Genomic DNA, 15,954 nt, shown 5'->3' on the forward strand with positions numbered 1-15,954 from the left:
AGGTGCAGCCAGTTCTAGGCAGGATTGGGCAGCTCACAAGCCACATCCTGGCTGCTGTGATAACAAGACAGAAATTTCCACTTCACCTCTGATTGGTCTCGGGCCAATCCTTCATAGGGTGTAGCCAATTGGAGGCCTCTAAAGGGCACAAGGGCTGTGGTCAGGTTTCTTTGCTTAATAAAAATCCTAATTACAGAGGCTCTGGAGCTACTTGCTCCAGCCCACTCCCACTCTGTGAATTGCCTTCCGTTAAATCTGTGCTTTCCTTACTCCGTTCTTCTGACTCAGTTTTGTTTCCTTGTGTTTCGTTGTTCTTTTGTTACTTTGTGCGTTTTGTTCAATTCTTTGTTCAACCCACCAAGAACCTGGACAACTCACCTCCAAGACCTTCTATCTGGTAACAGCTGCAGGAGCTGGAGCTGTGGGCCTGGGGACAAGTGTCCTAACAGCCCCCGCTCCCTGCAGCGAAGGGTCAGCAGAGGTGGCGCTCTAGGGGGGCCTGGGCACAAGTTCATAGGATCCTGCCCTGGAAAGGTTGTGGGCAGTTGGGGGGCAAGGGAGACAGTCCCCACCCAAACCCCAATGCCCCCTAGCACCCAAGGTGGTCTTCTCTCAATTGAGGAGCTCTTTGGCAAGGGCGGGTCTAATTTCTGGTGTCCCTGGAACCGGCCAGGGGTGTCTAAGAAAGGGACTCAGGCTGGTGTTCGGACCCCTTCTCCCTTATCCAGACGCAGGCCTTTGGTCCAGCTGTCCCAGCCAGGGCCTGCTCACCCCTGTCCCCTGCCGGGTCCCATCCCCCCCACCCACCCACAGGTCTCAGTTTAGGTGTCAATATCAGAAGCCCCCTCTGTGCTCCGGTCTCTGTACTCCGCCCCCTTGTCAGTGTCCTCTCCCTGAGGACAGGGGGCTCGGTAACTGGGTTTCCAAGAGCCCTGCAGGGACACCCCCTCTTGGGAACTCACACAGCGCAGCCAGGTCGCTAAGCCTTTGAGGGGCCCTTGTTGCCTCCTGGGTGTGCGTGCGACCCGCGCCCACTGTGGTCCCGCCCTACTGATGACCGTGAACCTGTAGGGTGTTGGGCCAGCCCCTCACCCCAAGGCTGGGCAGGCCCCCGGAGTCCCCCTCGGCCCAGACAGAAGCTCCCTCAGGAGCGGGGGAGGGGAAGGGGGCGCGCGGTCCGGCCCCAGGTGTGGCCGCGGATAATGAGACCCTGGGGATGGGGGCGCACCTGCGCCACGGCGCCCCGCAGAGGGTTTCCCAGGAGACCCCCTCGGGCTCCCGCCGCGCCGTGGGGGTGGGGCAGCCCTGCTGGCCAGAGCCGGGCACGGGCCGGGCGGGCGGCGGGGATCGTGACCGCGGCTGCGTGCGTCCGCGTCCGGGCGCTTCTGTGCGGGGTCCTGGCACGCCGGCGGGGGCGACCCGGGTGCCGGCCCGTGCGGGCGACACGCGCGTCTCTGCGGGGCTGCGCGGGGTCCGGAGCGGCTGGGGGCTCTCTGCCGGGCGCGGCTGGGCGCGGGGGGCGCTCCCGGCCGGGATGAGCTCACCGCAGTCGCGCCGGGGCTGAGCGCCGAGCGGGGCGGCGGCGGGGCGGGCGGCGGCTCCTCGGCGGCTCCGCGGCGCCCGGGCCGCGCGCCGCCATGCTGGGCCTGGACGCGTGCGAGCTGGGGGCGCAGCTGCTGGAGCTGCTCCGGCTGGCGCTGTGCGCCCGAGGTGAGCGGGCCGGGCAGGGGCGGGGGGCTCGGCTGGTCTCAGCCCCGGGCGGGGAGTAGCCCCTCCCCCGCGGCAACTTTGGGGGCGCGCATGGGGACCTCGCGGCGCCGACCCCCCGGCTGGGGTCTGGCAGGGGTGGGGGACTTCATCCAGGCTCCAGCCCTGTGGGGAAGGGACCAGGTGCGGACGGGTCGGCTTGGGAAGCGGCGGCGCTGGGACCCTCTCCCCCTGGACACCGCCGCCTGGAGCCCCTCTGTCTTGGGTGGGGCTGGGGCTGGGGCTCAGGCTCTGTAGGGCGTGTGGTGATCCCCGAGAAGACGGGAGCGAAGTGGGCAGGGACTCAGAAACCCCTGCCCAGGGCACCAGGGAGAGGGGCTTCAGGAGGCCACCAGCCCGGGGCGCCATGGGAGGCGGCGCAGAGCCTGAGCCCAGGGATTTGGAGACAGCCGCCCCCGGCACCCGAGCACCATGGGGAGGAACTCCTAGACTGTGGGAAAGTGTTCAGAGACCCCAGTCCAGAGCAGGGTGGTGGAGGGCCCTAGAGGGTCAGTAGGCTTGGGGGGCCGCCGAGGGCCCTAGAGGGTCAGTAGGTTTGGGGGCCGCCGAGGGCCCTAGAGGGTCAGTAGGTTTGGGGGCCGCCGAGGGCCGCTGCTCTCTAGCAGGTAGCCCCTGACCCTGGGCTGCCCTCATCTGAAGTCTTCGCTCCCCCGCCCTTTGGTCTCCGAGTCAGGGAGGGGGCCCTTGTGGACATCTGGGCCAGAGGAGCTGCAGGCCTGGCGGTCTCTGGAGGCCCCTCCTGAAGGTCTGGGTGCGGTGCGGCACCTCCCCAGGCCGCCCTGCTCTCTCTGCTCGCTCTCTCCCTGAGCCCCCAGAGGCTTCCCTTGAGTCCCTTTGGATAGTGGGAGGTACAGCTGGCCAGAGGGGGCTCCAGCCTGGTGCTCGAATGCCAGGGTCCGCTAGTGGCTGCTGCTCACGCCCCTCCCCACCCCCAGTCCTCCTGGCTGACAAGGAGGGTGGGCCGCCGGCAGTGGACGAGGTGTTGGATGAGGCTGTGCCCGAGTACCGGGCGCCGGGGAGGAAGAGCCTCTTGGAGATCCGGCAGCTGGACCCGGACGACAGGAGCCTGGCCAAGTACAAGCGGGTGCTGCTGGGGCCCCTGCCACCGGCCGTGGGTATGGCAGGGGTCTAGGCTTGGAGGGCTGGGTCTGGGGGGCTGGTGAGGAGCCTGGTGGGGGTGGGGGGCATCCTGCAGACTTCCAGTTTCTCCTCAGACCCAAGCCTGCCCAATGTGCAGGTGACCAGGCTGACACTCCTGTCGGAACAGGCTCCGGGGCCCGTCGTCATGGATCTCACAGGTAACTCGCAGGATGCTGCACCCTGAACACAGGTAGGGCCCTCCCAGGCACGCTTCTGCACCCCTGAGTTCCGAGCCCTGGGCCATCACAGTCGCACACCTCATGGGTACCACACCCTACGTGGGGGCTCCTGGAGCAGGTCTCAGCCTGTAGGGGAGTTCCGACCCTAGCTGAGGTTTCCCCAATAGGGGACCTGGCTGTTCTGAAGGACCAGGTGTTTGTCCTGAAGGAAGGTGTTGATTACAGAGTGAAGATCTCCTTCAAGGTGAGAGCCGGGGCAATGGGCGGAGGGGATGGGGGTGGGGGCAACAGCCAGAGGCCTGGCCCCCAGAGGAACCCCTAATGCCTCTGTTCCCAGGTCCACAGGGAGATTGTCAGCGGCCTCAAGTGTCTGCACCACACCTACCGCCGGGGCCTGCGCGGTGAGGGCAGCGGTGGGGGGAACGGGGCGGGGGGGGGAAGCGGGGGCAGACAGAGGACAGCTCTGATGCCCTCGCCCTCCCTAGTGGACAAGACCGTCTACATGGTGGGCAGCTATGGCCCGAGCGCCCAGGAGTATGAGTTTGTGACTCCGGTGGAGGAAGCGCCGAGGGGTGCGCTGGTGCGGGGCCCCTATCTGGTGGTGTCCCTCTTCACCGACGATGACAGGACGCACCACCTGTCCTGGGAGTGGGGTCTCTGCATCTGCCAGGACTGGAAGGACTGAACCCCCAGTCCGTGTCTCCCCTACCTCCCTCAGTTGTTGCACAGGGACCCCCAAGCATCCCCAGCACCCCCCGTGAGTGACCAGACCCTCCCCTGCTGCCCCTGCTGCCCCTGCTGCCCCTGCTCTGTCCCGGGACCCCCTGGCCTGGCGCTGTCCCCTGAGCTGTCCCATTAAACATGGCCCTGTCTCTCTCGGTGCCCTGGGTGTCGTCTCTTTCTGCCTCCCCTCCCCTGGGGGCCGGGGGCGGCCGCATGGGCCTTGTCTTTGCTGGGACTGGGCCTGTGTGCCACGTGGCAGCTGCTGCTTGGCTTCTGGCCCCCTTATCTGCCCCCGCCCCACGCGCCCTGGCAGCACCATGAGCCGCCAGCTTCTGCCTGTACTGCTGCTGCTGCTGCTCAGGGCTTCGTGCCCATGGGGTCAGGAACAGGGAGCGAGGAGCCCCTCGGAGGAGCCTCCAGAGGAGGAAATCCCCAAGGAGGATGGGATCTTGGTGCTGAGCCGCCACACCCTGGGCCTGGCCCTGCGGGAGCACCCTGCCCTGCTGGTGGAATTCTGTGAGTGCTGGGGCCAGTGGGGCTGGGGACCGGCGGGGGACCGGCAGAGCCCACCTGGGGGCCCCACCCTTTGCCGGCAAATGCAGGGCATGTGCCCAAGAGGGGCCTCCCCGCAGGCACTTGCCCCCACTGTGCCCAGGAGCTCTCTAGGAGGGGCCTGGGGGTCTGGTTGGGGCAGGCAGGAGCAGTGTGGTAGTACTGGGGGTACCCACAGGACTTGAGAACACCTGTGCCTCCCTGCTCGGCCAGCGGCCACGGTGCCAGAGTCACCACCTTGCCGGCCACTCCTCCAGCTGCCAGGGGCATCCCACAGACTCTGCAGAGGCTCGGGCAGTATCCAGGCTTTGGGGGCCCATGGAGGTCCCTGACGTGTGTGCCCTGTGGTCTTTTCGCAACCCTTGACACACATAGGAACTGTTCTTGCCTAGGAGGCCTTCACAGGCAGCCACATGGGCCCGGGAGCCCCAGCCATACAAGGCACGAAAGGGAGGGGTCTTTTTATTTTTATTTTTTGAGATGGAGTTTTGCTTTTGTCGCCCAGGCTGGAGTGCAGTGGCCCTATCTCGGCTCACTGCAACCTCCGCCTCCCAGGTTCAAGCAATTCTCCTGCCTCAGCCTCCCGAGTAGCTGGGATTATAGGCATACGCAACCAATCCCGGCTAATATTTTTTGTATTTTTAGTAGAGATGGGGTTTCTCCATGTTGGTCAGGCTGGTCTCGAACTCCCAACCTCAGGTGATATGCCCGCCTCTGCCTCCCAAAGTGCTGGGATTACTGGCGTGAGCCACTGAGCCTGGCTGTGGGGGGAGGGGGGGTGGTCTTTCAAGCTCTCCCAAGCCTTACTGGTCCCTGTGCTGCAGCCTGGGGGGCCACGAAGAGGCACTGGTGCTCGGCTTGTCCACGGCCAGGGCTCAGGGCAGAATGGAGCAGCACGCTTGTTCCCTGCTGGGTTGTCAGGTGTGGAGAGGGTGCTCCTGGGGTTGTGGTGGCCTGGGGCACTCACGGCCCCATCCCCCAGATGCCCCGTGGTGTGGGCACTGCCAGGCCCTGGCCCCCGAGTACAGCAAGGCAGCTGCCGTGCTCGCGGCCGAGTCAATGGTGGTCACGCTGGCCAAGGTGGATGGGCCCGCGCAGCGCGAGCTGGCTGAGGAGTTTGGTGTGACGGAGTACCCTACGCTCAAGTTCTTCCGCAATGGGAACCGCACGCACCCGGAGGAGTACACAGGTGAGGGGCAGGCCGGTCATTGGGGGGGCGGTGGCCAGGCCGAGGCTGAGGGGGACTCCCTGCAGGACCACGGGACGCTGAGGGCATTGCCGAGTGGCTGCGACGGCGGGTGGGGCCCAGTGCCATGCGGCTGGAGGACGAGGCGGCCGCCCAGGCGCTGATCGGTGGCCGGGACCTAGTGGTCATTGGCTTCTTCCAGGTGAGCCACTGGGCATGGGGGGCCGGGCCATGAGGGCAGTGACTGTGGGTGGGACCGGGTGGCCTCACAGGGCCAGGCCCCTCAGGACCTGCAGGACGAGGACGTGGCCACCTTCTTGGCCTTGGCCCAGGACGCCCTGGACATGACCTTTGGCCTCACAGACCGGCCGCGGCTCTTTCAGCAGTTTGGCCTCACCAAGGACACTGTGGTTCTCTTCAAGAAGGTAGGTCAGGCCCAGGTGTGGGTTGGGGTCCGGCTGCAGCGCCCGCTAACCCACCTGCTGCTGTCCAGTTTGATGAGGGGCGGGCAGACTTCCCCGTGGACGAGGAGCTTGGCCTGGACCTGGGGGATCTGTCGCGCTTCCTGGTCACACACAGCATGCGCCTGGTCACGGAGTTCAACAGCCAGGTGCGTAGGCTGCAGTGCCTGGGCTGGGGGTGTCCCAGGGTAGAGTCGTCCAGGGATGGGGGTGCCTAGGCTGGGGGTCCTGTGGAGTCATGAGCACCCTCCCTACTGTAGACGTCTGCCAAGATCTTCGCGGCCAGGATCCTCAACCACCTGCTGCTGTTTGTCAACCAGACGCTGGCTGCGCACCGGGAGCTCCTAGCGGGCTTTGGGGAGGCAGCTCCCCGCTTCCGGGGGCAGGTACTGGGGGGCTGGGGGAAAGGGGCAGCGGGAGAGTGGCCGGTGCCAGCATGGACTCCCTGCCACAGGTGCTGTTCGTGGTGGTGGACGTGGCGGCCGACAATGAGCACGTGCTGCAGTACTTTGGACTCAAGGCTGAGGCAGCCCCCACTCTGCGCTTGGTCAACCTTGAAACCACTAAGAAGTATGCGCCTGTGGATGGGGGCCCTGTCACCGCAGCGTCCATCACTGCTTTCTGCCATGCAGTCCTCAACGGCCAAGTCAAGGTCCGCTGCAGACTGCTCATAATGGAAGGGGAACCCTGACCTCATCCCACCAGCTTGGCAGGGGGTGGGAACAGCAGCTCTCAGAGCCCCCTGCCCCTGCAGGCCCCGCAGAGGCCCCCCTCAACCCGGCAATTCTCCCAACCCGGCGGTTCTCCCAACCCCAACCCGGCGGTTCTCCCAACCCCAAACCCGCGGTTCTCCCAACCCCAACCCCGCGGTTCTCCCAACCCCAACCCCAACCCCAACCCCAACCCCGCGGTTCTCCCAACCCCGCGGTTCTCCCAACCCCGCGGTTCTCCCAACCCCAACCCCGCGGTTCTCCAACCCCGCGGTTCTCCCAACCCCAACCTCAACCCCAACCCCACAGAGGTCCCTCCCCCCACCAAACCCCACAGTTCTCCCTCCCCCCACTAAACCCCACAGTTCTCCCAAACTTGAAGAGGACCTCCCTGTCAGGCCCTGCAGAGGATCTCCCCCCCACCTGCCCCCGGCCCCGCACAGGACCTCCCCCCCACCGCCCCCCCCACACAGAACCTCCCCCTGCCGCTGACCCCGCACAGGACCTCCCCCCCACCCCCCAGGCCCTGCACAGGACCTCCTGAACCCTGCAGAGGACCCCTGGCAAAGCGCCTGTCCTGGTTTCCCCCAGCCCTATCTCCTGAGCCAGGAGATACCCCCTGATTGGGATCAGCGGCCAGTTAAGACCCTCGTGGGCAAGAATTTTGAGCAGGTGGCTTTTGACGAAACCAAGAATGTGTTTGTCAAGTTCTGTGAGTGTTGAGGGAGGCAGGGGTGGTGTGGGCTGGGCAGGGGCTGCCCAGATGGCTGTGCTCAACGGCTCCCATCCTAGATGCCCCGTGGTGCACCCACTGCAAGGAGATGGCCCCTGCCTGGGAGGCATTGGCTGAGAAGTACCAAGACCACGAGGACATCATCATTGCTGAGCTGGATGCCACGGCCAACGAGCTGGATGCCTTCGCTGTGCACGGCTTCCCTACTCTCAAGTACTTCCCAGCAGGGCCAGGTCGGAAGGTATGGCGGACAGGTGGCTGGGGAGGAAGCCGGGGTGCCATCTTGCTGGGCATGGGGCTGGGCCCCACGTGTCCTCCAGATCCCCCTGCCTCTTCTCAGGTGATTGAATACAAAAGCACCAGGGACCTGGAGACTTTCTCCAAGTTCCTGGACAACGGGGGCGTGCTGCCCACGGAGGAGCCCCCGGAGGAGCCAGCAGCCCCGTTCCCGGTGGGTGTCCCTAAGCCAGGGCTCCAGGCCTCTGCACAAATCCTCTTTACACAGGGCTGGCAGGGGCGGGGGCAGGGGTAGGCTGGGAGCAGAGCTTCGAGCTGCACTTGTGACCCTTTCTAGGAGCCACCGGCCAACTCCACTATGGGGTCCAAGGAGGAACTGTAGCTGCCCCCGTGTCACCCCCGCCATCACTGCTGGACAGGAGCCACCCCCTTGGGTACCAGAGGGAGCTGTGCATTGTGAATAAAGAGTGAGCTTGGTTCTGGACTCTGTGTGCCTGGTCCCTCAGCAAGGCTGGCCTGATGCAGCTCTGCCCAGCTGGGGGCTCCAGGGCAGGAAGGTGGAGCACGTTCCTGCTCTAGCCCTGCCAGCCTCTGAGTCACAGGTGATCCCCATGCCTGCTGGAGGCCAGTGTGCCCTCCTTTACCACGGGGGCTGAGGCTGGGAGACCTAGGCCAGGCCCCACCCGCAGAAGACACACCACAGCCAGGGCAGGTTCAAAAACAGTTTTATTTCATTATTATCCAAGTACCTTTGAAAAGATAATTAATTGTACAAGTGTCATCGCATGAAAAACAGACTCGGGCAGCCCCTGCTGGCCTAGCCTGAGAAATGTACATATTTACACGGGCCCTCAGAAAGGAGGACCCAGGACTGCACAGCCGGCGGCTGGAGGCAGGTGCAGTGCTCCGTCGCCGATTCACACAGTGGCAGGCAAGAGACAAGCTGTGTTGAAGGCACTCGGTGGCGCGTACAATTGACAGAGGCCCTGCAGGCCTCTGCATCCGGGCCTGGGCCCCACCCAGACCTGGGTACGTGGGCAAATCCCAGAGGGAAAGTAGATCCCAGCACACGTGCCCAAGGGAGGTGCCGGGGGATGGGGGGGGGTCACCTGAAGCTGGCAGCAGGGACCTCGGCTGCCTCACTTGGGCTGGGCCCTCCAAGTATTGCTATGAGGAGTGGTCCAGGCTGCCTCCTTGGGGGCAGGACAGAAGCTTGTGGACCACTTGGAGGGACCCCCTACCTGCCTCTAGACACGGGTAGACCACAGGGATGGGTGGTACACCCAACACTGTTCCCCATCGGGCTCCTGAGTACGAGGTCATCTGCCTGGCCGTGACACCCGTGCCCGCCAAGGGCCTCGCCTGGCACAGCGGCCAGCCCACCAGCCTATCAGTCCACCTTCTCCACTTTGCCGATGATCTTCTCCTCAAAGACGGGCAGGACGGCCTCGTCCTCTCGAACCTCCTCAAACACCACCCCACAGTCAAACTCGTCGCTCACTTTCTTGAAGTAGTATCTGCAGGACGGAGGTGAGGAGGGCAGTGAGCAGGCAGCACCGCAGATGGGAAGGAGGCCTGTGGCAGGGGACGGCGTGTCCACACCCCATCCCGAGGAGCCTCCTGTCCATGCCCCACGGCCCCCACTGCATGTGCGCCCCCTCCCAGGGCAACAGTGAACAGTGCAATGACCACATGTGGGTGAAGTGGGCAGCCATGGGGGGTGAGTTCACTGCCTGCTGGGAGCACCCCACATCCCCCTGGGAGTACCTGCCCCAGCCTCTCAGGAGTTGCAGGGGGGAAGTGGACGGGTGTGGGGTGTCTGCTTCCCAAGGGCTGAGCCCCGTCATGGAGGTGACCCCAACTGGGGCCCTCCCTCAGCACCACATCTGCAGTCATGGGGTGTTTGCACAGTGGCTTGTGGACGGTGGGAACCACCCGCCAGGCTCTGCCAGGCTCTTGGGGTCAGGCCCCCTCTGCTCACCGCCCAGTGCTCACTCGGGAGCCTCCAAGGCTGGCTGCACGCAGGGCCCTGCAGGGCTGAGTGGCCCAGGGCGAATGAACCTTGGTAGGAGGGGGCTTGGCTTTTCAGTCAGGCAAAAGCACATGAGTCCAGAGCCTGGAGACAAGGTCGGCCTAGGGGAGCCTAACACAAGGTTCAGACCATCGTCGTCTAGGGGTCTGGCCTCTGTTTTCCCACCCCGAAGATGAGGGCCCTGGACGGGGGTCCCTTTGGACCCTCTCAGTCCTGTGGGGCCGAAAGCCTGATGCCACCCTCAGCCTAGGGCTTGGAGAAGTGGCTTTAGTTGCAGATGAGGGACATGAGCTGAAATGGCCGGAAGCCCTTTTTCTTCTTTTTTTTTTTTTGGGCGGGGGTAGAGACAGAGTCTCGCTCTGTCACCCAGGCTGGAGAGCAGTGGCGTGATCTCAGCTCACTGCAACCTCTGCCTCCCGAGTTCAAGCAATTCTGCCTCAGCCTCCCAAGTAGCACACCTGGCTAATTTCTTTAGTATTTTTAGTAGAGACGGGGTTTCACCATGTTGCCCAGGCTGGTCTCGAACTGCTGAGCTGAGGCAATCCGCCCACCTCAGCCTCCCAAAGTGCCAGGATTAGGACGTGAGCCACTGTGCCCGGCTGGAAACCCTCTTTTTCATACCGTTGGGCACCCACATACTCGTGCGGGGAGGGGGCACCCCAGCCCTCACACTCACCTGTAGCTGCCCTTTTTGGTCAGCAGCTCCTTGAACTGGCCCAGGGTGACAGCGCGGCCCCTCACCAGGGTGCGGTAGGGGATGGGTTCCCCGCAGAAGTAGTACGCCACAACGATGCTGTCACACGGCTGGGCACTCCCGCCGCCCACCTTCCTCTGCGATCTTGTCCTGGGGAAAGAGATGCAGCGGTGGTACCTGGTTTTGGACTGAGGTCCCACAGGGTCCCTCCTGCTGGCCTCAGGCTGCCAGTGTAAGGCGGGGCAGGCCTGCAGGGGTGAGCAGCACCCCATTCAAACACCTGGGGCCCGCAGCCCCCGCACAGCATCTCAATCTGGGATCTAGTCCGCTAGCAGTGGAGTCGGCTCCGCTCACTGGGAGCACGAAGGTCTCCCTGCTGCCTCACAGCCCCACCCTCGACTGGCCAGGGCCTGGCTGCCAGGTGCACTGCAGCTCCCACCTCTAGGATGGCAGGGCAGGCTGCAGGGCTCCTATCTCAGGAAGACCTACGGCCCCCAAACCTTAAAAACATCTGAAGGGCAGGGATTGGACAAACAGAACTGTGCACGATTTCTGGATAAGCCTGACCCCGCAGCGAAGTTTGTCGGAGGACTGGGGCGGGGGTGGCCAGCAGGCCCTTCAGAGGGGGCAGGGCTGGCACCGTCTCCTGCCCAGGCTGAGCCGGGCCCTCCTCTGACAGGTGCTGTGCTTCCACAGCCGTGCCGGGATGACGGGCGGGGCCTGGTTGCTCTCGCACCCCCCACTCGGCTACCCCGCCGCCACCTGTCCTTCAAGTGACTCCAGAAGCTGCCCCTGGCCCACTGGGGTTCAGCCCTTGGGCCTCCTCCTGGCTGGGTGCACCAGAGGCTTCCAGAGCCAACACCAGGGCAGGAAGGCCTCATGGCCACCTGAGCCATGTGACCATCCTCTTTGCACACCAGGCCCCCAGCCACGTGCGCTCTTAGACGTCCTCCCAGTGCCACATCCTCGGAGCCTCCTGGAGCCAGGCCCATCAGAGAAGAGCCAACACGTGGGGGCTGCCCCAGGGACAGGTGAAGGCTGCCCCAAGACCGCCTACACGATGAGGGCCACAACAAACCTGCATCTGGGGCAAGCCTGGCAAGGCCTGGGGGACCCTTGTTCTCAAGGCCCCTTTTGGGGTGTGCCCCCTCCTCCTGCCACCTTGAGCACATAAAGGCGCCGTCGACACGGCCCATGTGGGATCACATGGTCTGAGCCCTTTCTCACGGGTTCAGAGCAGTCAGCATTGTAGGTGGGAGCAGAGCCCCGACTCACTGACTGCACGGGCTGGACAGACACGCATGGCTGAGACCCACACTGCAAGCAGACGCACCCCGGGCACCTCAGCACCTGCAGCCCCGAGCCTGGTCAAGTCAGGCCTGGCAGGGACCGGCCCGTTCCAAGCCGGGTGGAGGCGCAGGCAGGTCTCTGCCCCACAGGAAGCCTGGCCGTGACACCTGTGTGGATGCAGGGGCTGGCTGTGCCCAGGCCTCCAGCCGGGCCTTTTGGTCACTTGTCATCATGCTGGACAGTCAGCGTCTCCTTTGATGGAGACAGGAGAAGGCTCTCGGGCAGCTTCGAGTCTGATGCCACGGGACCCTCTCCTGCCACAGCTGCTTCTGAGCGTGGTACCCGAGCTCAAGCCCCGGGACGGCGGCTCTACGATGGGACCTGGCTTGGGACGCCAGGGCTGGGGTGGGCAGGACCGGGAGGACCCTCAGGACGCACGTACTCTGTCTCGGAGAGCTCCATGTCCGACACGGCTGGTACCACGTGCAGCACCGGCGCGCACGCTGGCCTGACGCAGGCGCGTCCCCGCCGCATAACCTCCTGCACATACCTAGGGAACAACCCGCGTCAAAGGTGGCTGTGCCGGCGGCCACCAGCCCTGGGGAGGGAGCCTCGACCAATGCTGCTGCGCAGGGACGGACGGAGCGTGAAGGGCCCGAACAACCCACCCTGCGCAGGCTCCAGTTTGCAGGGTAGACAAGACACCGAGTCCCCTCCTAGGCCTGCCTTGGTGGTACCCGATACTGCAGCGCGCCCCACATTCATGATCCCGGCACCAACCCCCTGAGTTCCCTGGACCGCACTTTGGGGAGCTTCCGATCAGGGGTGCTGGGATCCCACCACCTCATCCCCTCTGGTGGGATGACATCTCGTCCCGAGAGTCTGTCCTTCAGTCTCTTGGCATGAATTCCCCACCGATAGCGTGGACACTGGCTCTGGGGCGTGCGTGGCAACTCGGTCTGCACCTCAGGGAGGCTGAGGGCCCCCCGGCGCCACAACTGAGGCCATCCTGGGGCAGCACAGCAGCTCCTCTCACGTGGACACCTCCACCGGGGTACACTGGGCGACCTTGATGGTGGTTTCTACTCTGACATCCTGACAGGGCCCAGCACCCAACCTGCCTCTGGGCCTTCACTCCGTCTCCACAGCTTCTCGCAAAAACCCACATCCCCTGGACGGACAAACCCAGCAACTCTGGGTTTCCCCATGGGGGGATGCTGGAGCCCAGCAGCCAAACGGGCGGGAGGGTCGTGTCTCAGAACGGCGGGAGTGGTCCCACGGCTCAGCGGGCATCCCCTGCCATCATGTGGGGCCACGGGTACCAGGGGAAAGCGCAGACGCAACCTGAGAGACCCCTGCTCAGCCCAGCAAGGATGGCTCAGGAAGCCCCGGCAGGAGAGCCCACACACGCCCAGGGCCTCGGACCTGCTGCACACGATGCCCACCACGGCTCATCTGCCAGCCCAGTCACACGCCCCGGCTCCGAGCACCACACTCCAGGCTCCTGCATGGCAGGGGGCTCCAGCTCCTTGTTGGCCGAACACGATCACAGGGTCACAGATGTTTGGTCATAAAGTGGTCACCCTTTGGGTTTGAGGTAACTGTGACCCTTTCTGGCCCCAGAGCTGTCATTAGGCTCACAGCCTGGCAGAAGCTCAGGAACCTTTAATGACTTGAGACCACACAGGCTTTCAGCTGGGAAGGGTCTGAACCCTGATGCTGGTTCGGCAGAATAAGGCCCCTAGCCACAGCCTCCCTGGAGTGGCACAGCCCCAAAGCTGGAGGCCCGGGAGGCGGGCCTGGACCCCAGGCCCCAGGTGACCCAAGGTGGACAGGAGGAGCTGGTGACCTCTGAAGGCAACCATGGCCTCTGTGACCACAGCCCCAGGGCCTGGGTGAGCTATAGGCTCCCAGGACCCTCAAAGAGACACTGATCTGTGGGGAATTCCAATGACCCAGGATGGCCGAGAAAACTGGCCTTATGAGCAAGCTGAAAATGGAGAAGCCAGGTTCTGGCCTGGAGCGAAAATGCTGCCCACACAAAGGGGAGACCTCCCTGCAGCCCAGACAGAAGCCTCCCTGCCCTAGGGAGAGAACAGGGTCTGGCTACGGAGCCCAGAAGACCAAGGAGGGCGCAGTGAGGAGGGCTGTGGGCTGGACGTCCCGGATGAGAGAAGGGCACAGTGAGGAGGGCTGTGGGCTGGACATCCAGGATGACAAGAGGACACAGCGAGGAGGGCTGTGGGCTGGACGTCCAGGACGACACTTCTACATCTGCACGGCTTTCAGAACCACGTAGCTTTCCGACCGTGCAGAGCCACTCAGGGCTCCTGGGACGCAACTGTCAAGAGGCAGCCGCCATGCCTCCAGGACCTCTGCCCTAAAGCCCAGGCTGCCCAGCAGCGAGCAGCCTCTGGCTGGGGACCGGCGTTCCCCACACACTGGGGCCCTGCAGCCTCCCTGCAGACTGGGCTCAGGTTGAGGAGGGACCCCGCCTCCAGAGCAATGAGCGCGGCGGCCTCGGGTGTGTGAAAGCTCCAGCCCCAGCCTCCGTCCACCGCAGGGTGGCCTGCCACGTGGCCCCTCAGTGGTTCTCAGTGGATGGAAGGGCCCAGTATGGCTGGGGGACACCCAGAGGGCCGTTTTTCCCCTGAAGACCTCAGGCCTCGGGGAGCTTCAGCCCCAGGAGTGGTGCTGTGGTAACCCCCAAGACCCACCCCACCCCACGACGCGGCCGTACCTCTGCTTGGAGGGTGCTCGGCTGGCTCTCTTTTCTTCCTCCTCCAGACGTCGGCGCGCCTCCTCCAGCTGGGTTAGGGGGTTGGGAGCTGGGTGGGGTGGCATGGTGGGGTCTTGGATGAAGAGGTGGGAGGGCTGCACGGAGGTCCGGAGCTGAGGGCCGGCCCAGGGGTGCTCAAGGGACAAGGGTCTGGAGTTCTCATGGGGCTGTGGCTTCCTCGTCCCCGAAGACCTTGGGGAACAAGAGAACAAGTTGTGACTGTGGCCGACACCCTGGCCAGGTGGCCTGGTGGGGCTACACTCATCTCACAAGGGCAGCCTCCTTGAGGGATAGGATGGGATGGGGCACTGGGGCCTGGCCACCAAGCCACATGGACGTCCTCCACAGACCACACAATAAAAACATCCCGGCCAGGCATGGTGGCTCACACCTGTAATCCCAGCATTTCGGGAGGCCGAGGCGGGCAGATCACCAGAGGTCGGGAGTTCGAGATCAACCTAACATGGTGAAACCTCATCGCTACTAAATATACAAAATTAGCTGGGCGCCTGTCATCCCTGCTACTCTGGAGGCTGGGGCCCGAGAATGGCTGGAACTGGGGAAGTGGAGGTTACAGTGAGCCGGGATCACGCCACCGCACTCCAGCCTGGGTGACAGAGTGAGGCTCAGTCTCAGGAATAAAAAAGACAACAAAAAACCAACCCTCATTTGCCTGTAATCCCAATACTCTGGGAGGCCAAGGTGGGTGGATCGCCTGAGGTCAGGAGTTCAAGAACAGCCTGGCCAACATGGCAAAACCATGACTCTACTCAAAAAATACAAAAAATTACCCAAGTGTGGTGGTGGATACCAGTAATTCTAGTTACTCGGGAGGCTGAGGCAGGAGAATCGCTTGAACCTGGGAGGCAGAGGTTGCGGTGAGCTGAGATTGCACCACTGCACTCCAGCCTAGGCAAGAGTGAGACTCCATCTCAAAAAAAAAAAAAAAAAAAAAAAATGGCCAGGCGCGGTAATCCCAGCACGCTGGGAGGCCGAGGCGGGTGGATCATCTGAGGTCAGGAGTTCAAGACCAGCCTGGCCAACATGGTGAAACCCTGTTTCTACAAAAATACAAAAAGTTAACTGGGCATAATAGTGGGTGCCTGTAATCCCAGCTACTCAGGTGGGTTAGACAGGAGAACCACTTGAACCTGGGAGGTGGAGGTTGCAGTGCGTTGACACTGGCCTGTTGCACTCCAGCCTGAGCCACAGGAGCGAAACCCCATCTCAAAAAAAAAAAAAAAAAAAAAAAAAGGCCAGGCGCGGTGGCTCACGCCTGTAATCCCAGCACTTTGGGAGGCTGAGGAGGGCGGATCACGAGGTCAAGAGATCGAGACCGTCCTGGCTAACACGGTGAAACCCCACCTCTACTAAAAAAATACAAAAAATTAGCCGGGCGTGGTGGCGGGCGCCTGCAGTCCCAGCTGCTCTTGAGGCTGAGGCAGGAGAATGGCATGAACCCGGGAGGCGA

The 15,954-nt window shown here is 63.6% G+C and overlaps 3 protein-coding genes across 12 annotated transcripts in view, besides 1 other annotated feature; 2 read left to right on the forward strand and 1 right to left on the reverse strand.

Annotated features, from left to right (window-relative positions):
* Positions 1 to 1,547: 1,547 nt before the first annotated feature.
* On the forward strand, positions 1,548 to 3,967 carry ARHGDIG (Rho GDP dissociation inhibitor gamma). The gene is made up of 6 exons (NM_001176.4): positions 1,548 to 1,710; positions 2,703 to 2,882; positions 2,982 to 3,065; positions 3,254 to 3,330; positions 3,424 to 3,487; positions 3,572 to 3,967. The coding sequence occupies exons 1-6, from the start codon at positions 1,638 to 1,640 to the stop codon at positions 3,769 to 3,771; spliced, it is 678 nt and encodes a 225-aa protein (NP_001167.2). The 5' UTR covers positions 1,548 to 1,637; the 3' UTR covers positions 3,772 to 3,967.
* Positions 1,689 to 2,446: an enhancer, noted in NCBI's record as "H3K4me1 hESC enhancer chr16:330732-331489 (GRCh37/hg19 assembly coordinates)". NCBI's record gives its function as "activates a minimal SCP1, AML or CMV promoter by ChIP-STARR-seq in naive H9 embryonic stem cells {active_cell/tissue: H9 hESC(naive)}" and the evidence as "EXISTENCE:reporter gene assay evidence [ECO:0000049][PMID:30033119]".
* A 153-nt stretch (positions 3,968 to 4,120) lies between the features above and the next one.
* Positions 4,121 to 8,172, forward strand: PDIA2 (protein disulfide isomerase family A member 2). The gene is made up of 11 exons (NM_006849.4): positions 4,121 to 4,325; positions 5,344 to 5,550; positions 5,616 to 5,749; positions 5,835 to 5,972; positions 6,041 to 6,157; positions 6,269 to 6,394; positions 6,463 to 6,660; positions 7,310 to 7,430; positions 7,511 to 7,692; positions 7,792 to 7,902; positions 8,026 to 8,172. The coding sequence occupies exons 1-11, from the start codon at positions 4,127 to 4,129 to the stop codon at positions 8,068 to 8,070; spliced, it is 1,578 nt and encodes a 525-aa protein (NP_006840.2). The 5' UTR covers positions 4,121 to 4,126; the 3' UTR covers positions 8,071 to 8,172.
* The window catches only part of AXIN1 (axin 1), a 65,284-nt gene continuing 57,726 nt past the window's right edge, over positions 8,397 to 15,954 (reverse strand). For 6 of the 10 annotated variants that reach the window (NM_003502.4, XM_011522682.3, XM_017023745.3 and 3 more), the window contains 4 exons: positions 14,445 to 14,675; positions 12,147 to 12,254; positions 10,397 to 10,564; positions 8,397 to 9,205 (listed from right to left, as the gene is read on the reverse strand). In NM_003502.4, the coding sequence (NP_003493.1) occupies positions 9,079 to 9,205; positions 10,397 to 10,564; positions 12,147 to 12,254; positions 14,445 to 14,675 (634 nt within the window). In that variant the 3' untranslated portion in view covers positions 8,397 to 9,078. The remainder of the gene's footprint in view (positions 9,206 to 10,396; positions 10,565 to 12,146; positions 12,255 to 14,444; positions 14,676 to 15,954) is intronic. The other 4 variants (NR_134879.2, NM_181050.3, XM_011522683.3 and 1 more) reach the window with 1 other exon arrangement.

The sequence above is a fragment of the Homo sapiens genome, chromosome 16 (genome assembly GCF_000001405.40).
Source record: "Homo sapiens chromosome 16, GRCh38.p14 Primary Assembly".
In the NCBI taxonomy this organism is placed as follows: Eukaryota; Metazoa; Chordata; class Mammalia; order Primates; family Hominidae; genus Homo; species Homo sapiens.